The 25,058-nt window shown below is 35.4% G+C and overlaps 1 protein-coding gene and 1 pseudogene across 5 annotated transcripts in view; one reads left to right on the plus strand and one right to left on the minus strand.

Annotated features, from left to right (window-relative positions):
* Window positions 1–25,058, plus strand: part of SLC30A7 (solute carrier family 30 member 7) — a 99,989-nt gene that overhangs the window by 21,875 nt on the left and 53,056 nt on the right. For 4 of the 5 annotated variants that reach the window (XR_246237.4, XM_017000400.3, NM_133496.5 and 1 more), the window contains exons 7-8: window positions 113–163; window positions 3,742–3,877. Coding sequence is in view for 4 of the 5 variants with exons in the window: in XM_017000400.3 (XP_016855889.1) it covers window positions 113–163; window positions 3,742–3,877 (187 nt within the window). In the remaining variant the exon portion in view is untranslated. Of the gene's footprint in view, window positions 1–112; window positions 164–3,741; window positions 3,878–14,110; window positions 14,154–25,058 lie in introns of those variants that run through there. The other variant, XM_017000401.3, reaches the window with a different exon arrangement.
* HNRNPA1P68 (heterogeneous nuclear ribonucleoprotein A1 pseudogene 68) lies at window positions 22,861–24,090 on the minus strand (annotated as a pseudogene).

Below are 25,058 nucleotides of genomic sequence, written 5' to 3' on the forward strand. Positions count from 1 at the left end.
GGCTATATAGCCATGCATTCTTGATGATGCATTTGAATGAAAAGGACTCTGAATTGTAAAAACTTGAATGAGGAATTGAAAACATGTTTTAAAATAACTTAATTCTCTACAGATGGCCCGTCCTTAAAAGAAACAACAGGACCCAGCAGACAGATTTTACAAGGTATGACAAGCAATTTTTATGTTTCTTAGTTTTTTGAAACTGCTTTTATAGTTTTGAAGTTTTAGTTGTCTGAAGTTTTCCTTTAAGAAAAATATAAAACATAGTGTTTGTGTTTAGTGTTAGCCTTTCTAGTGATTGTTTTTTATATACTATTAGATATATTAGCAGACATTCTTTTAATTGTCACTTGACTGTTTTCTCTGATTTGATAATAAAAGCAAAATATAGAGCTGGGTGCACTTGGCATGTCCCCACAATCCCAGCTACTCAGGAGAATTGCTTGCTTGCGCCCAAGAGTTTGAGACCACCCTGGGGAACATATGAGACTCGTATCTCAAAAAGATTCGGAAACTATTCTGCTTGAATATAAGTAATACCCATGCCTGTGACTATAAACATTGTATAGATGCTTCTTGATTTACTGTGGGGTTGTGTCCTAATAAACCCGTGGTAAATTGAAGATACTGTAGGTTGAAAATGCATTTAATACACCTAACCTACCGAACATCATAGTTTTGCCTTGCCTACCTTAAATGTGCTCAGAACACTTGCATTAGCCTACAGTTGGGCAAAATCATCTAACACAAAGCCTATTTTATAATAAAGTGTTGAATATCTCATGTAATTTATTTAATACAGTCCACTGTAGAGTACAGTATCAGTTGTTTACCCTTGTGATTGCTTGGCTGACTGGGAGCTGCCGCCTGCTGTTGCTGCCCAGCATCATGAGAGATGATCATAGCACATTATTGCCAGCCCAGGAAAAGATCAAAATTCAAAATTTGAAGTATAGTTTCTACTGAATGCATACTGCTTTCACACCATCATGAAGCCAAAGTCATAAGTTGATCATTTTAAGTCGAGGACTGTCTGTAGGAGTATGTTTGCTTTTACAGGATTATTATGTAGTTTTTCCAAGAATAATATTTAATATGTTTTTATGTTGTGGGAAAATTTAGAGCTAAAGATTTAATGCAAAGTGAGAACTCCATAATATTTGTAGGCCATCAATAGCTAATACATGTGTAAAATTGTATATTACAAAGTTTTACATGCCAGAGAAAATCCTGTCTATGAATTATAGTAATTTTTTTTTGTTTTGTTTTGTTTTTGTGGGTGGGGCGGTAGGTTATTAATCAATCTCTGGCTCTGAGTTTCCATTTAGACTTTATTGTCAGGGTTTCCTAATTCCCAGCTATCTACTTGCCTTTATTAACTTTTGACTTCAGTCTGACTTTCTGAATGGCTTCTGATCCAATCTCAACTGCACCTATTTGTCTTCACTATTTCTTTATATAACTCTCGTTTTTTATTTTTTCACTGTGAATATATTCCTTCATACTGAGAAATTTATTTTCAGAAGGCTTAAATGTGTCTTCCAATCACAGGTTTTCCATTTACAAAAGATATGGAATTGTTTTAGAATAACATTTGCTGAAATAACATATAATCATGCATATATGATGCATCTATATCAAGTACTATAAATTAGCCTTGATAATAAGAATTTAATTTTGAAAGTCATCACAAGTTGGAGGAAAGGAAGTTAGATTTGCCTTTCTAATTCTCTTTTATATAAGTTATTGTGAAAATAAATTTATATTTTCTGAATATTTATCAATTTATGGTGGCTGAAGAGCCCAGTAAATAGCTGAAGAACAGAGAAAACTACCTGGCATTAAAAACTTCTTGTAAAATGACCAGGTAGATAGATACTCATACATGAAAAACTTGAATTAATTATGTTTTTCAATTATATGCTACATCTTGACTCCTGGCTTACTAAGGTTTTGGGGGGTTAGGTTATCAGTATCCTACCACATCTTCTAAGGCTTTTAACTTTGTATAAGTTAAACATCCTAGTTTATGTTTCTTTCTTAGTGATTTTTTTCTTAAACAGTTTATGTAGTAAGAAGGCTTTAGGTAGTTTTAATGACACTTACTAATAAAACCAGTTTTCAGGTTAGCAAATAAATGGTAGCCAGGGACTTTCCAGTCTAAGGAAAATCAAGAACAAATCATTATTTTCTTACAAATCATTATTTTCTTTTTCTTTTCATGTTTAGAGTTATTTTCATTTTTTATTCTACCAAAACACTGATTAAAGAATATAAAGGCTTAAAAGCATGTATCATATATAAGAGTTTGTAGTTAGGGACCTTCAATCTGCTTTGATGTGTATTTTTTTTCCAGTTGTAGTTTTAAAAGTTAAAGTGGCCCCAACATTATTAACCTATTTAATTCACTGCTATTTGAAATACGTGATAGGAACCGAATATTTATTCTATAAGTATGTCTGACAAAATTTATTTCTTTTGGAAATATTTTTAAGAAAGTTGTTCTTAAAGGACTGTTCTTTTTGAAGAACAGTTATAATAATAGAGTTAAACTGTATATAAACGAAAAGTTATATGTAGGTAGTGAGGGATGATTTATATTTAATATAATATTTGATATAAATTTCCATCAGTGGCAGATAAAATGAAGTATAATTTTCCAGAACACAAGATTTGATTTGACTCATTAGCAGTCAATTTTTAAGTTATTAGAACATTTCTTGAGTTTGTTTGTATTTATATACCTAAAAATAATTACAGTTCACCCTTTATTGTGCAGTGAATACTAAAAAAGAAAAATCAAGTATTTCTCAACTACATACATGCTTTTTATGCATTAACTATTTCTTTTCAGATAGGGCAGATGATGGTATTGAATAATGTTCTATTTTTAGCAAGACATGATTGAAGTTTAAAAGAATGTTTGTGGTATAGAAATTTTGTATTAAAGATCTAAACGTTGAATAATTTGTCTCAGTTGAGTTTTTTCAGAAAGTATTGTACATAAATCTTACTTCTTGACATTTTAAATGGTTTTCTGGGCAACTTTGACTTACTAAATGTTATTATGTCTAAGTTTTTAGAATATCAGTATAACATCAGTATCCTACCAATTTAATATTTAATTATTAAAAGTTCAACATGTATTTTATATTTATTTAAAAATATTCAAATCAGTGCCTGCTTTCACGTCACCTCTGAGTGTAGTATGTAACCAGTTTAGATAGAGCTTTTAGGATAATTAATAAGTGTAACAGGATAAGTGAAATTATGGTTTATGGGAAATTGTAGTCCCAAATGGTAATAATTGTAATCACCAGCAGAGGGCTCTGTATGTACGTATATCTATAGTTAAAAATGTTTTCTTGACCAGTTCTTTTAGCCTAATGCAATTTCCATCCCATAACAAATTACTGACTTTTGGACTCCTGTTAGCCAGAGGTGAATGTTCACAAACAATTTTTAAAATCAACTTGCTTCTCTACTTCATTTATATCATTAAGAAAAGGTATAAATTACCAGTCAGATATTTCAACCCCTGTTGATTTGAAACAGAAAAAGTGATTTTAATTCATAAATGTACTATTACATGGTTACTAAATGGTGAATATACATGCTTACTTATTTTTGAAGTTGATATCTAGTTTTTTATATATAAAATTAAGAGTATAGCTCTAGGATATATTCGTATTTTAAATTAACCAAAAGACTGTTTTGATTTTTATTATGGTTTATTTCTAGGTGTATTTTTACATATCCTAGCAGATACACTTGGAAGTATTGGTGTAATTGCTTCTGCCATCATGATGCAAAATTTTGGTCTGATGATAGCAGATCCTATCTGTTCAATTCTTATAGCCATTCTTATAGTTGTAAGGTAAGTGTTATTGTTACTTTCAAGTATTAAAGTGAGACTGAGAGAGAAATATGTTACTTAAATTATAGGTCTAAAATACAAATAATTATGTTGGTTTTCCTTTGCTTGCTTTTTTTTTTTTTTTTTTTTTGAGACAGAGTCTCGCTCTGTCACCCAGGCTGGAGTGCTGTGGCACTGTCTCGGCTCATAGCCATCTCTGCCTCCTGGGTTGAAGCAATTCTCCTGCGTCAGCCTCTCAAGTAGCTGGGATTACAGACAACTGCAACCAGCTGTACGTTAGTGCCCAGCTAATTTTTGTATTTTTAATAGAGATGGGGTTTTACCATGTTGGCCAGGCTGGTCTCAAACTCTTGACCTCAGGTGATCCACCTGCCTCAGCCTCTGAAAGCGCTGGGATTACAGGCATGAGCCACCGCACCCGGCCAGATACCCTTTTCATTTTTATATGTTTTCTGTGTTTGCCATGTATTTGTTACCTAGAGTTTGATGTTTCTTTTTGATATTTGGCAGTTAAATTTTTGGTCATAATTCAAATCAATAGTAATTTTCTTGAATGCAACATTACATCTATAGAGTAAAATAATGGAAATATAAAATATATTCACTATAGTTAGTGTATTAATCCTTTGACATCTGCATCTTACATTATTAAATGCAAAGGAATATCAAAGACTCCTCTGCTAGAACCATTTTTATTCATAAAGTCACATTATCATTGTAGAAGTCTTGTAAAAATGCTACCTGAAATGAATTATGTCCGTCTTCCCATCTGGCTTACAAAATTCTTGAGGAAGCATCTGCCTCGTAGCTCTTTATCTTTCTATTTCCTACTACAGGGACAATGTATATGGAAAGATAAATGTGTGTAGGTGTATAAATTCTCAATAAATATTTGCTGAATTAGATTGTACAGTTGTTATCTTTTAAGTTTAACTCATCCTGAGATACATTTTATTATTGGTCTAATTTTTATCATAATGATAAGACATTATGTTCCATTTTAAAGTTATTTAAAAATTTACATATACACTGTATATGTCTTGACTGGACTGTTTTTATTTTTTCATTGTGATTTTACTGTCAGGAACTTTTTTGTAATGATAACTAAGATCTGCTAGAGGCCAGACTCAAGATTTTTATAGCTTGTAGTTTGTTAGAATAGATTTTTTTTTTTTTTTTTTTTTTTTTTTTTTTGAGACGGAGTCTCGCTGTCGCCCAGGCTGGAGTGCAGTGGCGCAATCTCGGCTCACTGCAGGCTCCGCCCCCTGGGGTTCACGCCATTCTCCTGCCTCAGCCTCCCGAGTAGCTGGGACTACAGGCGCCCGCCACCTCGCCCGGCTAATTTTTTGTATTTTTAGTAGAGACGGGGTTTCACCGTGTTAGCCAGGATGGTCTCGATCTCCTGACCTCGTGATCCGCCCGCCTCGGCCTCCCAAAGTGCTGGGATTACAGGCGTGAGCCACCGCGCCCAGCCTAGAATAGATTTAATAAAGTATGATGAAATCATAATGTAAGATGAGTCATAAATGGAGATTTTTTTTTAAAGTTTCTGCCTAAAAAAATAGGATATACATTTTAAACATACAGATTATTTTTTAATTTTTTCAAATTATTTGAACAGGGAAATAACTCTGCTATATAAAAGTCTGTTATAAGCTCAGCACAGTGCTTTACAACTATAATTCCAGCATTTTGGGAGGCTGAGACAGGAGGATTGTTTGAGGCCAGGAGTATAAGACCAGCCTGGGCAACATGGTGAAACCATGTTTCTACAAAAAATTTAAAAATTAGCTGGGCATGGTGGTTGTGTACCTATAGTTGCAGCTACTTGGGATGCTGAGGCCGGAGGATCTCTTGAACCCAGGAGTTTGAGGCTGCAGATAGCTATGATGGTGCCACTGCATTCCAGCCTGGGTGACAGAGTGAGATCCTGTCTCTATATAAAAAGGAAAATAAAAGGATTTCGTAAAGTTTGAAATGCCTTTTCTTCTTCTTTGGAAATCTTACTGTACCTTGTTGAAATTTCAGCTTAGATGTCCCATATTCTGTGAAATCTGACTTTTGGTAATTTATTCACTGTTACAACTATACCTGTTTATTTGTGCTTTTAGTGTTCACTTAACTGCTTCTAATTCTTCTTAGACTAGGATCTTAATATTCACTTTTGTCTCCACTCTTACTATTCTAATTCTGGCTATAATTATGTCTTACCTGGAAAACTGTAACAATCTCCAGGTTGACCTTTCTGTCTCCCTCTAAACACATCACATTGGCTAAAATTATCTTTTGTTAATAAGGATTATATTACATATAAAAGTATTTAAATATTTTAATGACTCTTACCCTTAGGATAGGGTCTGAACTCCTTAGCAGGCTTCATGATATATTAACCTTGTTGACCTCTTTGGTCTCTCTCAGTACTTCTCAATTCATACTTTGCTCTTCAGCCACAGTAAGTTAGTTTTAGTTCCCTGAGTATGTTATCAGCTCTCTGGATTCTGGGCTTTGCTCATATTTCCTCTATTCAAAATACTCTTATACTTCATGTCTTTCTTGCCACACCCCCCACCCCTTCCCACCAGCATATGTGTATGTATCACAATTACTCATCCTTCAGATCAGATTCAGTTTAAATGGCATTTCTTTGGGAAGCATTTCCTGATTCTCTACCTCCCAGGCTGGGTTGATTGCATGTATAGCACCTTCTACTGTAGTACCCTTTTCATGGCATTTACTTACCATAGCCTATTTGTTATTGCCCTCAAGCTCCATTAGGGCAAATTGTTTTTTCATTGTTTTAAAGTCAGCACCTAAATCTCCCTGGCCAAAAAAAAAAAAGAAAAAAAAAATTGGTACACTTTGAATTTGAATCAAAATAAATTTGTGGGTTTTTTTTTTCAACCTCAGAGAATTACTTTAATTCCAAATTGGGAATTCTTACTTAGTTCTGTTCTCATTCATTTATTCCTCTAGTATAAATAAGTAAACATACACAGACACACAAAGAAAACTTGTTTTACTGAATATAACACACATGAAGAAAACTGCACAAATCATCTTCACCAAATATTTATTAAGCAGGCCCTCTCACCTACTTAATCGTAGATAAGATCTTCACTGTCTTGATCCTATAATAGGAGAGTGAGACAATAAACAAATTAATAAATTAGACGGCTCAAATGCCAAATAGTTATTTGTATTGTGTGGATTTAAGATAGGATTATATGATAGTGACTGAGTTGCCACTTTAAATTGAGTAGATCTGGAAGACTTCTGAAGAAGAGGCCTTTAACCTGAGATCTTATTGTCGTAAGAAAAGCTTGTCAGAGGAAGAACATTCTAGTCTAGGTATCAGTTGGTAGAAAAGCCTTGTGGTAAAAGCAGCTTTGATACTGAAAGGAGGCCAGCATGGCTGAAGCATAGGGAGTAAGAGGAGAGTGGTTTGAGATAAAGTTGGAGAAATAGGCTGGGGAAGACTACCTAGGGTTAGGAGTTTGGATTTTATTCCAAGTGCAATGGGACACAATAAGGATATTTGTTTTAAAAAATGATTTTGGCTGCTGTGTGGATAATAGATTATAAGGGGGCACAAGTGAGAACAGGCAGACCAGCTAGAAGGCTATTATTTAAAGTGGACCAGGTGAGAGGCCATGGTGGCTTGGTCTTAGGTACTAACCTTAGAAATGGAGAGACACAGAAAAGTTAGAAAATGCTTTGGGGTACAGCTAACAAGATTTGCTTGAGAATATAAATGTGTGGGTCAGGGTTGAGTGAAAGAGGGGAATTAAGGATAGTTTCTAGAGTTTTTAATCTGGGCAACTGAGTGAATGAGGTGTCATTACTAAAAGAGAGGGGACTGGGAGAAAGGTAATGTTTTTATTTTTAAAGAGGACTGTAGATAAAAAATTCTGTTTTGGATATAAGTTTGAGATCTCTCAGACATTGATATGGAGAGTTCAAATAGACAAAGAGTGTACAAATAGGCATTCTTGGGAGCAATCAACTGAACAGAAAGGGTTGAAAATAGTCCACACCTGGATTTAAAGTCATGGAGTGGTTGGTATTCATCTGGCATTGGAATTCATCTAGCATGAATGCCACAATTCCCACCCCTTCTGTTTTCCTGGAAGATATCCCTCAGTATGGTACTCCTGCCTGCTAAAACTGATTTAGCGTCAGGGGCCCTTTCAATATAGTGCTTCAAGCAACCACAACCAGTCAACTACAGTAGGCTTCCAAGGTAAAACTTATTTGTCATCCTTGTCTAGGTCCTACTGACCTACTTATAAACTTCTCTGTAACTTACATAGATACATAGTTTCAGGTCATATGATTGGATTTCTTTTTGTTATTGTTAAGCTTTGATATTTTTATTATTTGCTCTTGTTTTTCTGATAACCAAAGTAATACTTTGCATTGCTATAAAGATATACCTGAGACTGGGTAGTCTATAAAGAAGAGAGGTTTTATTGGCTCACAGTTCCGTAGGCTTTACAGAAAGCATAGTGCTGGCATCTGCTTAGCTCCTGGGGAGGCCTCAGGAATCTTACAGTCATGGTGGAAGGTGAAGGCAGAGCAGGCATGTAGCGTGGTGAAAGAGAGAGAGAGAAAAAACAATGACTAAATCTGGAAATAAGTCACTATTGTGAAGACAGCACCAAGCCATGAGGGATCTGTCCCCATGATCCAAACACCTCCCACCAGGCCCCACCTCCAGCACTGGGGATTACAATTCAGCATGAGTTTTGGGCAGGCACACATATCTAAACTATATTAACATTCTTATTGTGAAAATTTTAAACATTACTGAAATGTATAACTTACCTATTAAAAGGTTCTCATAAGCCCACCCTTTGAAGGTAACAGAAAAGTTTCATGTATCTTAAAATTCAACAAATGTTTTAGTACCCACTCTGTGCCAGGCAAATAGCCTACCCTCATGGAGCTTACATTTTAATAGGGAGACAGTCAATAAAGCAAACGAACATGCAAATAGATAATGGACTGTCAGTTGGTGACAAATGCCATAGAGTAGGCTAAGATGCTATTTTAGAAGGGCTTGGAAAGTCTTCTGCATAGGGTAATATTGGAGCAGAGACTAAATGGTGGAGGAGAGGAATATGGGACTGTTCAGAGGAAGAATATCCCTGGTGAGGGAACTTCAAGTATAAACACACTGAGGCAGGAGCATGCCAGATACAAGGATGACAAGAAGGGCAGTGTAACTGGAGCGCAATGAGCAGGGCAGAGAGTGGTAGATACATGTTTATATATCTGCATCTCTAGAGTTCAGGGAGCAGGTTGGGGTGGAAGATAGAAATTTGGGTGTCATCAGATTATATATGTTGTTTAAAGCCATATTTAATAGACAGTTTATTCTGAGACCGAGTATTGATAGAGGAGGGGAGGCCTGAGAACTGAGCCCTGGGGTTGGTCAGGAGGCAGGTGCAACCAAGAAGAGTAAAGTGGAATGACCAGCGAGGTGGGAAGAAAGATACAACCATATGTTGTTTTAGAAGCCTTGTAAAGAAACCTGTTAAACAGGAAGGACTAATCAACTCTGCTAAATGCTGCTGGGACTAAGAAGAGTGATGAGAATGAAAGCCTGATCAGACAGAGTAGCTTCGAGAGAGAATGGGAGGGGAGGAAATGGAGATAGCAACTAAGTCAACTCCTTTTCAAAGCCTTTTGCTGTAAAGGGGAGCAGTGTGATTGCCTGGCAGCACAGAGGGCCCACTTTGAGGTTTGTGGTCATGAATTTAAAGTGCAAACAACCAGAATAGTTGTGTTTTTCTTCAGTCTTGTTCAGCTACTTGGTAAGAGGTATGGAATAGACAGAGAGTTAGATTTAACAGGTTTGGGGTTTTGTCAGGTGAGTACTGACAGTGAGAAAGGGGCAAGGCAGGGATTAGAGTGGTGAGAAATTAAGATATAAAGGTAATTGATGCATGCTTTAAAAAAAAGTGTTAGGTTCAGTGGTCTAATCCACTTAGTGGCCTAAGATAGGGTCAATCTAATCCACTGAGCCTATCTTCCCTGTTTGGGAAGAAGTATTAAGAATGGAGGTATTAGGGGAATTGATCCAGAAATAGAAAGGGTTGTTCAGATTATGAGATGCTTGGAATTGAGATCTTAAGGCTTAAGGTGTGATTATAGGGGCAGAAGATAAGCTTAGCATATAGAGACCTGATGATGGGTGGATTGCCCACATGGATAATTTAAATCAAGAATAATGAAAAGAGTAGAGGTGGAAAGATAATAAGCCCATTACCAAATTTTTCAGTGACTGAAGGGGGGCAATCAGGAATTGTAACCCTGGTAATCAAGATGGGTAGAGGGTGTAATGATCTAATGGCACGGGCCTTAAGGAAACTGTGCTGTAGGGAAGAAGTAGTAGGAACTGTGATAAATAGTGGTAGTGACAAGCAAGAAGGACATCTGCCTCACCACAAGCCCCAACAGTACTGGAGTGTAGGAGAGAAAACGGCGCTTCTTAATAGTGCTCTAGGGAAGACAGTGCCCTCCATTGGTCAGTTTTCAGGTAGAGCATGAACATGCTATGTGGCTATTTAGAGAAGAGGCTGAGGATTTAATGAAATTGCATATTTAAAAGTAGTTTTTTTAATTATGGGAATAATTATGTTGACAAAGAAACTTGGTAAAATATAGAAAAAGATAAGGAAAAATTACCATAAGAGACCCATGTTAATATTTTTGTGGGTTTTCTTTTGGATTTTTTCTTTTATTCTGAGATTATTTTATTTTATTTTTCATAATATTTTTGTTTGTATTATGCATATGACATATTCTTTGTAAGAAAATTTTTAATAGTTTTCTGATTATAAAATATGATCATGGTAGAAAATTTTGAAAATAGTGGAAAGCATATGAAGTAAAGAAAAACTAGGATCACAACACGCAGAGGTCACATAACCACTGTTAGCAGTATTTCTTTACAATCATTTTTAGGCACATTTTTAAAAAAATTATTGAACTTCTACTATATGTAGATTATTAAGCTTGGTCAGCATCAGAGAGCATTCACAGGTTTCAGATGAAAGGTAATAGTATAGTCATTATTTTAAGTCAATATTAAGTTTTGGATGACTAAGTTGTCAGCAAAGGCTTAGATTCAATGGTAATAAATGACAACAAGGTACAGAGCAACACATAAGAAAAATTCTTGTAAAAGGTCTGTGTCTAAACTACGCATTTATCTTTACATGTATGAGGGAGAAACTATATATAGAGAGTGTGTGTGTGTGTGTGTGTGCGTGCCTGTACACACCAGATCCCAATTAGCATTCATATATATAGAGAATATATTTCCCAGAATGTTAATTGGCTCTCTCTGGGTAGTGTAATTTTAAAATTACATCTCTTGCCTAATTTCTCTATGGTAACATTTTTGACTTAGACTTTAAAAAAGCATAAGTTTTTTAATGAAAGTCAGTTAAAAAGTAGCTCCAAAGTACAAAATAAAGAAATTCTAGTTCAGCATTTTTTTCATTTAAAAAAGAAAACAAACTGAATTTATTTAAATGTACACCTGATAAAGAACTATTTGCAAGGAGATCACTCTGAGATGTTTTTCAAATTGGTAAAAATTTGCCTGATTTTAGGAAATAGTGAAAACTCTTAAAAAATCAACTAAATAGAGTATAAAGAAGTATTTTTCCCTACCATTAATTTTTATATATTCAGTATTTGCAGTTCATCAATAGCAAGAGAAATAGTGGCACTTCTTTTAAATTCTCTGGGTCTACTGCTGCTCAGTTGAAAACGTGCCATGGAAATATATGTCTATCCCTTCTAGCTTGCCCAGCGTTCCATTTTCACTTCCACAGTGAAAGTTATTTCTTAGAAAAAGACAGGTTTTTTTTTTTCAACATTTTCTACACAGACAAAGGGTGATAATAAATTTTGGGGTAAAACTGAGTTGTATTGTGATGAATTTTGTTTTGCAATGAAAAACAGGAGAATGAATATAATGTAAGAGTGTGATTTTTTATTTTCTGAAAATATGATTCCTATAAGAGCTTTCAGAGTAGTTCTGCTCCTTTTTTCCCTAAGGTGAGTTGGGATAGAAGATGAATTCATAACTTAGAATGCAGAAATCTGAACAATTAGTTGTAGCTTTGAATCTCACTGCAGTTTAGAGACGAGGCAATTTACATAGATCTGTAGCTTGATTTTTTTTTATTCACTTAAATGAAAGGGTTACCTATGCATGATGGATAATTATAAAACTAAGCAGGATATAGAAATATACTTTGTTACTGGTGTGATATTTCTGAAGCCTTGCTAGATTTTTTTAAAAAAATCAATTTTCTGCAACTCACCAGTTACCATCTTGTGGTGCTTTGTACTTTTATATACATATATATATACATACCACAAAATCATTTGTAAGTACAAAGAAAAGCTTTTTAACCAAAAACAAGTCTTTTTGTTAGGTCTAAAATTTTAAAATAGCAGCTTAATTTTAGAGGAAACAAATTTTTAGAGGCAAACTGAGGTACAGACTTTAGAAATGATAAATAATGGTCTGTATAAAATAGAATGTATACTAATGGAAACAAAATTATAAACTTGAAATTCTAAATTATAAGAAATCATCATTGTTCATGAATATAGGATTTAGACCCTGTACTGATTTTGATAAATCTTGTTGATTTCATATTTAAATAGAAAGAGTTGAATAGAATAAATTTGTGGCCTGTATTAAGCAAAAAGTAAGCATTTTTTTTTTTAATATGTAGAAAGTTACCATATGACAAATTCTGGAGATTTTACTTTTTTCAAAATTGTTTTTGGGTGTTCCCTAACAATTTCCTTTGTGGTTTGCCTTTCAAGTGGTTATAATTTGTGAACTATTACTTTTGGGGACTAAGATAAACAGTTTACCAAGATTTTAACTTGCTGCTTGTATATGTGCCCATATTGTAAAATTGAACATATGGGAACATTATTGCATAGTTATTGTATTCTTTAATCATGCATAAAACCATCATAGTAAGAACATTTATAAAAACTGATTAGTCTAACAGCCTTTCTCAATTGGGAAAGAACACCCTAATACTATAAAGCCTCAATTTGTATGGAATTATTAACTTCTTACCTATGTATCTAGAAAATTACAGTTATGTATTATCCTTGGGGCAATTGAGAAATAGTCGCTAAAATCATTTTCTGTGTTCATTGGTTCAGATGAGGAACCCTAGTTAAAGGCTGGCAGAGGGTTTTATAATACTGGAAAGAACACAGTGAGCATAGTAATGGTAAACAGAATTTTGAACTTAAGAACCTAATTATGTAAGAATATCATTCAGCAAAAATTCGGTAGTTTTTATTGAAACATCTGCTTTGTCCTCAACACTTTCTTAGGATCTGAGGATACAGTATCAGGTATTAATTCAGTACAACTACCAATAAACTGCCATTAAGTATATTTTAAAAATTCCTGACTTAAGCAAAATCTCCACTCATTTCCTCTCTCTGCCATTACATTACTACACACATAAACACACACATGCACAATTCGTAAATATGCCTTAACTGTCAATGCCTCCAAAAGGTTGTAACTGCTAGTATTAGAGATAAGGTTATCTCCTGGCCAATGAAGAGGGAGCAGGGTTTTTGGTTACTAGGATTGCTTACTGGATTTTATTTTCCATGCTCTTATTTGAAACTCACTGAGTATTTTTTTTTAATTTTTACTGTTCAGTTACCAGAATTTAGTACCAGAGTTTAGTACTGTGCTCTTATTAAAATATTCACTGTAAAACCTAACTGCTTTTTGCATTGTTTCTTGTGGGAAATCGGTGATTTTTAAACAGCCAACTTAAAAATACCTTAAAATACTACCAATTTGTAAATTAGGAGTCTATTTGTAAACTGGATTTGTAAATTGGAGTTAAAGTGTTCTGAGATACCATCTTCCAATCAGAGTTATTCAGGAATTCATTGTTGAAATGTATTTGGTTTCTTTTAAACATCAAACATACTGTATTATTTTTTCCTTTACCCTAAAGCCAAAAACTCCTCAAAAAGTCAAATAAGAAGAGCTGTGTACAAACACCAGAGTGTGCTATTTCTGCTTTTAATCTAACCCTACCATTTTTGTTGTTGCTATATTTGAACTGTAGTTTTTCTAAGAAATGTTGTATGTTTCATCATTGACTTTATTGGAGTATAAAAGCTAAAATGAAGGGAGAAATTTAAAAATCAGAGTGTTATTCCTTTTCCACAAAAGTTTTAGAACGGTTAGTCCCATAAAAAACTGCTTAATGGCTGGGCACGGTTGCTCATGCCTGTAATCCCAGCACTTTGGGAGGCCGAGGCGGGTAGATCACCTGAGGTCACGAGTTTGAGACCAACCTGGCCAACATGGTGAAACCCCATCTCTACTAAAAATACAAAAATTAGCCAGGTGTGGTGGCACACATCTGTAATCCCAGCTACTTGGGAGGCTGAGGCAGGAGAATCGCTTGAACCTGGGAGGTGGAGGTTGCAGTGAGCCGAGATTGCGCCACTGCACTTCAGCCTGCGTGACAGAGCAAGACTCTGTCTCAAAAATAAATAAATAAATAGGAAACTGCTTAATATGGCCTCTTTGTGGTTTGCAACTGATATTTCTATTACAAAGCATGAAAAATAGAAATGTGAGTGGTATAATATAACTAGATATATACGTTAGTAATTTAAAATCTAATGATGGTATATATGTGTAGGTCTGTGATTAAAAATCAAGCCAACACTTTTTCCTTTTTATTTATGCCTTATCATTGTTTGATATGGGATTGCTTGGTTTGTGTAGGTTCATTTAAGGAAACTTACTGGGAGTGTGTTAGAGTGTTCTAGAGAAGTGGAATACAAAGATCTCACCAAGTAATATGAGAGAGAGAAACCTATACACAAATAAAAACAATACAGAGCTAGACTATAAAAATGAACAAGGTACAGTATAGATGGTAATTTAATCAAGGGCCCCCTCTTCTAAAATTGTTGATGTCTTACCTCTGTTTACAGAATAAATCTTATGGTTAAAGAGCTCTGTCATCTGCCCCAACCTCCCTTCCAGCCAGTTATTTTCCATAGCAGTTTGTATATATTATACCACTCTTTTTCTTTTTTCTTTTTTTTTTTTTTTTGAGACGGAGTCTCGCTCTGTCGCCAGGCTAGAGTGCTGTGGCGCAATCTCGGCTCACTGCAAGCTCTGCCTCCCTGGTTCAGGGGATTCTCCTGCCTCAGCCTCCCGAGTAGCTGGGATTACAGGCGTGCACCATCACACCCAGCTAATTTTTGTATTTTTAGTAGAGATGGGGTTTCACCATGTTGGCCAGGATGGTCTTGATCTCCTGACCTCGTGATCTGCCTGCCTCAGCCTCCCAAAGTGCTGGGATTACAGGTGTGAGCCACCGTGCCTGGCCACCACAATTTTTTTTAGCTTTATCACTTGTTATTTATGGAAGATACTCTCTATACTTTGCTGCCCCTGTACCTTTGCTCATAGTATTCTTATCTTGATGCCTTTCTTCCTCATGATTCCCATCATTGTCCTAACAATTTTTTTTTTAATTTTTTTTATTATACTTTAAGTTCTAGGGTACATGTGCACAACATGCAGGTTTGTTACATATGTGTACATGTGCCATGTTGGTGTGCTGCACCCATTAACTTGTCATTTACATTAGGTATATCTCCTAATGCTATCCCTCCCCACTCCCCCCACTCTACTACAGGCCCCAGTGTGTGATGTTCCCCTTCCTGTGTCCAAGTGTTCTCATTGTTCAGTCCCCACCTATGAGTGAGAACATGCGGTGTTTGGTTTTTTGTCCTTGCGATAGTTTGTTGAGAATGGTGGTTTCCAGCTTCATCCATGTCCCTACAAAGGACATGAACTCATCCTTTTTTATGGCTGCATAGTATTCCATGGTGTATATGTACCACATTTTCTTAATCCAGTCTATCATTGTTGGACCTTTGGGTTGGTTCCAAGTCTTTGCTGGAGGCATGTCCTAACAATTCTTTAAGGTTCAGTTCTAATACTGTTTCTTCCATGAAGCCTTTTCTTCCATTTCTAAACTGTTTGTTTTTACCTTTAAATTTGTCAAGTTATTGTTTTCATAAATGGTGGCATAGTGTATCTCTATATACATACGTGTACATACCAGTACATGAGCATAGGACTGAGTCTTGTTCAGCTCTGTATCATATCATTGTGCTTGGTGCACAGTAATATTTGTGGAATTTTGGTGACCTAGATTGAGATTCAGCAGGCTTGACTTGTAGTTCTGGCTTTGTGACACTCAAGTTTCTGGACCCCTCTGTTTTCTCAAGTGTGGATTTTTGACTTTATTCTAATTTTCATGGTTGTACAAATAAGTACCACTTCATGGAGTGTTTACACATGATACCTTTAGCATGTTAAAAGCCAAGGCTAATAATGGAAAATAAGAATTCTCAGAATATGGCCTACTTCAAGGATATAGAGACAGGAAGTTATCAGGACCTGAGAACAGAGATTACTAGAAAGTAGAAATTAAATATTGCACACTTAGAGAAGGCAATAAGGGGCCATTTAGGTTATGAACTATAAGAATATAGGACTCTCATCTTTTCTTTGCTCTATTATCCAGATAAACTGCTTAGATATTTTCATATTATGGTAAAAAGAATAAGGAAGTCAGAGGTTACATCTTCTTAAGGTGTGGAAATATAATATTTTCCTAAGAAACTATTTAAACTATCTCTTTGTGTAAATGGAAGAAGCAGAACACATCTAGTGAGGATACACATAGATTATCTGTATCTATATCAATACCTATATATATATATATTTATATATATAAATGTATGTAGGAATGCTTGTGTAGCTCTTCATTTTTGCTTAGCATTTTACATGTTCTTGTAATTTGTTTACCTTCTCAGTATTGCTGAGAAATAAATCAATGTTAAAAGCAAATAAAAATCTGCTATTACTACCTACAGACATACTATGTACCCATGTAAGAAACTGCTCAATTGCAAGTTTTTGTCAATAATTCAGAACATCTGTGGGAAGATCGCTTGAGCTTGGGAAGTCGAGGCTGCAGTGAGTCGTGATCACGCCACTGCCACTGCACTCCAGCCTGGGTGACAGACCAAGACTCTGTCCCACAAAAAGAAAAAAAAATTCAGTGCCATGATTTTCTATTTTTAGCTCATATTTGAAGCTTCAAACTATTTGTGTTTAATATATGCTAATCAAAGCCTTCCCACTACAAATTTAGCTCATTTATTTTTAGAAATACCCTCTATATAACCTAATTGTCAGAACTAGCCTTCATTGTCAACCCAATCAGTCAAATCATACTTTCAGAGAAAGTTCTTTCTGTCAGAGAAAGTCTTGCTTCATTTTTCAGTTACACAAATGACAACCGTCTTTTGACTGCATCAAAACCTGGGTTCCTCACATAGTACTTTTTATAGGCATGAATTCTAGTATGTTTCTAATAGTTACATCCAGTGCTTTATGCAAGTCAGTTTAAACTTTTCAGAAACCAAAACTAGTTCTTTTTACGATTTTTGCTACAATCTGGTGAAGTGTGTCTTCTGCCATTTTATGCATTTTATGAAGCAGAGTGGTTTTGGAATAGGGAATGGAGCTATAGTGATAGACTTGGTGACTAACTTATTTTTGGCTATCACCTATGCACTGGAATAATCACTATCAAATGTGATTTCTTAACTATCATAGTGAGTGACAATACTTTATATGAGGTTTTTAAAGCCAACTTTGATGATGGCTTGGAATTGTTCAAGCTGTTTACTGTTTTTTAACCAATACTCCCAGCTTTCCTCTAAAAAAAATTAATAGCTTTATTTTAAGGTCTGTATATTGTGTAAATAAATGACATTAAAGAGATACGGGTTTTTACTATTGTTTGACAAAGGTTTCTTGGGACTTCTCTCAGGAGTGACATATTCTTTGTCAGTATCTGGGGGACAATAGAAGAGGGATTATTACTAAACCTATCATTACTTTAGTCATCCCACTTTACAATATGTCTGAACTCAGAACGTTCCTAATATATGGGCCAGAATACCTTGTTCCTAATACCACTCTTTGCCCTTAATAGGAATTACATAAAACAGAGAAGCCATAAAACTATACCTCAGGTTTATGAGCAGAGACAAAGGGTTTTATTAAAGGCTTACCAGATACCAATATTTTAAATTGTCTTCTTTTCATTTTTCTTTTTTTTTTTTCTACTCCAGTGATTTTCAAACTCTGGCACAGTTTACCATAGTAGTATTTTCTATGGGTGAATTACATGCTTTTCTTTTGTCAAGCGGCTGAAGTGGTAATTGTGAAATGGGAGGGGAGCAATAGAGAACTTACTAATTTACTAGACCAATTGTCTCAGTCTGGTGTCTGGTCAGTTTTGGAATGAGTACCTATGGAAGTGGAGGATCTGATATTTTATTCTCTTATAACTATTCTAAACATCTTTCAGAAAGTATATGGGTATCCCCAAGGGTATTTTTTTGTGATTAATGTCACCAGAATTGTGAAATGTAGTACACACTCCTATATGTACTCTTAATTTGAAGACTCCTGCCCTAAGTCTCAGTGGTACCAAATTGTTTGCACTTTTTAGAGCATGTTAAGTTAGCTTATACCTCTGTATCTCTGCTCATCAAGTATCTTTTCCTTAGAAAATCTTGCCTACTAATGTCTACCTTTTCAAAATAATTGTGATAAGCATAATATAAAATTTACCATCTTAATCACTGTTAAGTATACAGTTCAGTGGCATTAAGTACAGTCACATTGTTGTGCTGCCATCACTGCCATCCATCCACAGAACTCTTTTCATGTTGCAGAACTGAAATTCTGTAACCATTAAGCAATAACTCCCAATTCACCCTGCACCTCAGCCCCTAGCAACCACTATTTTTTCTGTCTCTATGAAGTTGTGAAATATATAAGTGGTACCTTATAAAAGTAGAGTCATACAATATTTGGCCTTTTGTGACTAGTTTATTTCACTTACAATAATGTCCTCAAGTTTCATTCACTTTGTAGTATATGTCAGAATACCCTTTCTTTTTAAGACTGAATGATTCCACTTCTGAATATTTACTTATACACATAGATTTAGTATATTTACTCATACTCATACACATAGATTATCTGTATCTATATCTATATCTATGCATGTAGGAATGCCTGTGTAGCTCTTCATTTTTGCTTAGCATTTTACATGTTCTTATTATTTATTTACCTTCTCAGTATTCCTAAGAAATAAATCAATGTTAAAAGTAAATAAAAATCTGCTATTACTACCTGCAGACATACTATGTACCCATGTAAGAAACTGCTCAATTGCAAATTTGTGTCAATAATTCAAAACATCTGTGGGAGGTTTTGAATTATTTATTTAAACATCTGAGTATTTACTTGGAAGTGGAATTGCTGGATCATATGGTAATTCTGTTTTTAATTTTTTGAGAAACTGCCATGCTCTTTTCCATAGCTGCCACACCAGTTTACATTTTCACCTACAATGCAGAAGGGTTGTAATTTCTCCACATGCTTTCCAAAACTTGTTATTTTCTGTTTTGTTTTGTTTTTGTTTTTATTTTTGTTTTTTGTTTCTGTTTTTATCTACCAGAAAACCCATTAACGTAATGCGTATCAAGTGGTCTTATTGTTTTGATTTGCATTTCCCTAATGATTACTGATGTTGAACATTTTTTCTTGTACTTATTGGCCATTTTGTATATCTTTGGGAAAATGTCTATTCAAATACTTTGTCCATTTTTAAATTGTTTGTTGTTGTTGAATTGTGGGTGTTCTTTATATATTCTGGATATTAACTCTTTATCAGATGTATAATATGCAGATATTTTCTCTTTTTCCATGATTTGCCTTAATTTTCATGTTTTTTCTTTTGTTTCCTAAGCTTTTGGTGTCATATCTGAGAAATCAACCAAACCAATGTCATGAAGCTTTCTCCTATGTTTTCTTCTAAGAGTTTTATAGTTTTAGGTCTTACATTTTATTCTGAGTTAATTTTTATATATGGTGTGAGGTAAGGGTCCAGCTTCCTTCTTTTGCATGTAAAAATCCAGTTTTCCCATCACCAGTTATTGAGAAGTCTGTCCTTTCCCCATTGAATTGCCTTGGCATCTATGTTGAAAACCATTTAACCATGTATGTCAGAGTTTATTTCTGGGCTGTCTGTTCTATCCCAGTGGTCTATATGTCTGTTTTTATGTCAGTGCCACACTGTTTTTATTGCTTTGTAGTAACTTGAAATTAGGAAGTGTGAGACCTGCAACCTTGTTCTTTTTCAAGATTGTTTTGACTATTATGGGTTTCTTGAGATCCCATAGGAATTTTAAGATAGATTTTTCTATTTCTAGAAAAAAATGTCACTGGGATTTTGATAGGTAGCTAATGTCTACCTTTTGAATACCTCTTATAAAATTCATCTCAAGGGGCATCTCCTTTGTGAAGCCTGTTGTAAACTACTATATAGAATTAACTGTTTTTTTATTTTGTCCCCTAAGCATTTCTAACATCTATCACACTTCGTTAAACTTACTTGTTTCTTTTTACTAGACTGAAGAATTGCCATGTGTATTAGTTTTCTGTTGCTGCATAACACATTGCCACAATTTTTCCAGCTTAAAACAATGCTCATTTATTATCTCACAGTTTCTGTGATCAAGAGTCTGGGCACAGCTTAGTTGTCTCCTCTGTTCAGGGTCTCACAGGACTGCAACTGAAGTGTTGGTTGGGGCCATAGTTTCATCTGAGGCTCAGGACCATCTTGCAAGCTTATATGGCTGTTGGCAGAATTTGTTTCATTATAGCTGTGTAACACATAGCAGCTTACCTTTCCAAGGTCAGCAAGAGAGCATCTGATCTCAGGGAGAGCTCCAGTCTATCTGTTAAGGGCTTTGCATCTGATTAAATCAGGCTTACCTGGAATAATGTCTCTGTCTCTCAATTTCAGCTTTTATTTTAGATAGAAGGGGTACATGTGCAGGATTGTTACATGGGTATATTGCACCCAGGTAGAGAGAGTATAGTACCCAATAGGTAGTTTTTCAGCCCATCCCCCACTCCCTCCTCTCTCTAGTAGTCTGCAGAGTCTGTTGTTCCCATGTTTATGGCCATGTGTAAATCAATAGATAATTCCTTAACATGATAAATTACATGCATCACAGCCCTAAAGTCTAAATCCCTTTCTTAAGGTGTAACACTAGAGGCATTACTACCAAAATAGGGAACTAGACAAGGATTCTCTCTGTTGCCTCTGCTATTTAACATAGTATTAGTGATCATTAGCCAGTAACATTAAACAAGAGAAAGTATTTGAGACTTAGAAATTGGAGCAATGGTTTTTTTAATGCCAAGTGTATAATTATATGTCTGTAAAGCCCGTGAAAGTTGATGGGAAAACTATGACAGACAATTTAGCAAAGTTACAGATATAAGATTGATATGCAAAAATCAATGTTCTTTATATATATAAACAAATTCCAACTGAATGATGTAATTAAAGAGAAGACACCTCTTCAGTAGCAACAACAAAGATAACGTAGAGGTTAAATGAGTAAAATTTACACAAGGAATTTAAACCCTTTAAAAAACACAGAAGTCGACTCGAACAGAGCCTTTTTTGTCAACTATGACATTTTTGAAGAATCAGCTGGCCGGGCGCGGTGGCTCTCGCCTGTAATCCCAGCACTTTGGGAGGCCAGGGTGGGCAGATCACGAGGTCAGGAGATCGAGACCAACCTGGCTAACACAGTGAAACCCTGTCTCTACTTAAAAAAAAAAAAAAAAATACAAAAAATTAGCTGGGCATGGTGGTGGGCACCTGTAGTCCCAGCTACTTGAGAGGCTGAGGCAGGAGAATGGCATGAACCCAGGAGGTGGAGCTTGCAGTGAGCTGAGATCGTGCCACTGCACTCCAGCCTGGGCAACAGAGTGAGACTCCGTCTAAAAAAAAAAAAAACAGCAACATGTCAATGCTTTTTGTGTTTATTTATAAAAGTTTTAAAATATTCAAATAAAAATACCAGTAGGTCCTTTTATTCTGAGGAGGAAGTAGTAAAAATTGATTTTAAAGTTTATAAGGAAAAAACAAACAGGAGGAATAGCCAAGTAAATCCTGGAAAAGAAGATGTAAAATATAAAGCCTTTGTAATGAACATAATGAGATACCTGAAAGAGCAAGAAGACTAATGGAGCAGATTAGGAGGTCCAGAGATGGGTTTATATATATATAGTGGCTTACTAATGATAAAGACAGCACCTCAAATCAGTGGAAAAAAGATGGCTTCCCTAAAAACTGGATAGCCATTTGGAAAAAGATAAATTTAGAGCTCTATGTTATACTATATACCCGGAAACATTTCAAATGGGTTAGTGTTTTAAAAGTAAAACATGAAACCATGCTAGTATTAAAAGAAGGCATGGCTGAAATATTTACGGTAGCATGAGAATATTAAGGGGTAGCTGTGGCTCAAAACTAGAAAATCAGTAAGAGAAAAGATTAATGAATTAAGCTACATTTTTAAAAAGAAGAATTTTGGCATAAGAAGAAAGCATCATAAGGAAAGTCACAAGACACAATAAATTAGAGTAAGTATTGGCCACTTAGATCATGAAGGACTAACATTTCTAATATAAAGAGAGCTTCTAAAAATAAAAATGTAATTTAATTAAGAGACTAACTTCCTGATAGAAAACTGGGTAAAAGTATAAGTTTATTTAAGTTACAGGAAAAGAAATACAAATTTAATGTGATTAATTAATTTATTTTTAAAGACACATTCAGTGTCATGATCGGACTATAACATTTAGCAATCAACAGCATGGATGCAAAAAATAAAATCTTATATTAAAACCCTTCAGTGGACTGTTTTACACTTTCCACAGAACATAAACTAAGATAACCTGTTATTAATTGTTACATAATTAATCACAAATATAGTTTTCATGTTTTTTGCCCATATACACAAATACTGTCTAAAACATGTCTTCTTTGTAGCAGCTAGGCCCTGCCACCACTGTGCTTGGCTGAATTCACAAATCCGTTGTAACCTGTAGTTTCCCTGTCACTTCTCTGGCTCTTCTCTCCTGCTAAACTTTATTTCCTAGCAGTAATTAAAATCTGCTACTGCCATAGCTTCTGCAGCTATTGGAACTGCCACAGCCACCTTGGTTTCATAGTTTAGAAAAGAATTTGCCTCCACCACCATAGGGGCCAGATCTTCTGCCACCAAAGTTTCCTTCCTTCATGGGTTCAGAATTTGAAGACTGTTGTAATTGCCAAGATCATTGTAGCTTTCAGCACCTCCAAATTTGCTTCCATTATTACAAAATCCATTTTAACCATCCCACTGCCACCATATCCACCACCACCAGAGCTACCACCAAAGCCACCATGACCACTAAAGTTTCCACCACAACCAAAATTGCCATTCCCACCAAAACCACCTCCACAACCACCACCAAAGTTTCCAGAAGCACTTCACCCTTTTCGGCTAGATGAAGCACTAGGCATCTCTTGATTTGACACAGCTTCCCTAATTTCACAATTGTGGCCATTCACAGTATGGTATTTCAGAATGACAGTCTTATCCACAGTCATGCTTACAAAGGCAAAGCCTTTTTTCTTGCCATTGCCTTGGTCAGTCATGATTTCAATCACTTCAGTTTTTCCATACTGTTTAAAATAATCTCTTAGGTGATGTTCTTCAGTATACTCTTTAATGCCAGCAACAAATATCTTTTTCACAGTTAAGTGGGCACTGGTCTCTGAGAGTCTTCTCTTGAGACAGCTCTCTTTGGTTCCACAACTCTTCCATCCACCTTGTGTAGCTTTGCATTCATGACTGCATCTACCTCCTCCACAGTGGCATACGTGACAAACCCAAAGCCCCTGGAGTGGCATACGTGACAAACCCAAGGCCCCTGGAGTGCCTGGTGTTTGGATCTCCCATTACCACACACTCTGTGAGTGTTCCCCATTGCTCGGAATGGCTCCTCAGATCTTCCTCAGCTTTGTTTCAAAGCCAACCCTCCAATGAAAATGAAGAGCTTCCACAGCCATTCGGGCTCTTTAGAAAACTGACTGCGACGTGACGGCAGTGGGAAGAGAGATTTTAACAATGCCTCCTTGACGGCATCCTCTGGCAGGAAGCACAAACAACTTTTAGAAGAGTAGTTTAGCTCAACGTATAAGGAAGAAATAGAAATTAAAACTGCATTGAGACACCACTTCTTACCCATCAGTAGATAAATGTCCAAAGGTTTGCATAATCTTTTGGCAAGGCTATGGGTAAAATAGGTACTCTCATACTTTGCTGATAGGAATGAGAATAGTATTAACTCAGAGGAATTGGGCAATGTCTAGCAAAATTAAATATGCATATACCTTTAATTAAGCAATCACACTTTTGGGAATATATCCCAAAGGCAAATTTGCAAAAAATATAAAAGAACATATCTGTAAAGTCATTCTTTGTGCCTTTATTTGTAATAGCAAAAGATTGGAAAGAACACAAATGGCCATCTCTATGGAAAAAACACTCAAAGTGCTTTTTCTGTTCTCTCACCCAGCAACAATCAACACAGTAGACTTCTGTGAAATGTGTGGGGTTTTTTCCCCAGACACCAAGCAAGTGTTAACCTGAAATAATCGAAAGAATCAGAGTCTAGCTTTATTCAAGTGAAAAGCTGAGAATGGCCATCTGGGAAACACAAACTCCAGAGAAATGGAGTCTGTGCTCCCAAATTAAAAGTTAAGTTCTTGCTTATACAGGCAGAAAACAAATGTATTAGGGTTATAGCATTTTCTATGCAAGGCTGGTTTATGAGTTATAACAATCTAATGAGTTACAGCTTGCTTTCATTTCCTTTTCAATTTAAAAGAGTGTTTTTAACATTTCATCTTAGACATGATAGTCTGTGTATGAAAAAAGTAAAAGGGCAGTTAATCTACAGTGAAGAGAGAATGGGGCTGCCTAGGTGCCCTTTAATCATTTACAACATTTTATAAAACTATGTGGGTAAGAGAGAAGGCAAATCTAATCAGAGAAACAGTGGTTACAGTTCCCTGTTACGTGACTGAGGTCCTATAATCACATTCCTTTAAGGCTCAAAATGTTT

This window comes from Homo sapiens, chromosome 1 (assembly GCF_000001405.40).
Source record: "Homo sapiens chromosome 1, GRCh38.p14 Primary Assembly".
Lineage (NCBI taxonomy): Eukaryota > Metazoa > Chordata > Mammalia > Primates > Hominidae > Homo > Homo sapiens.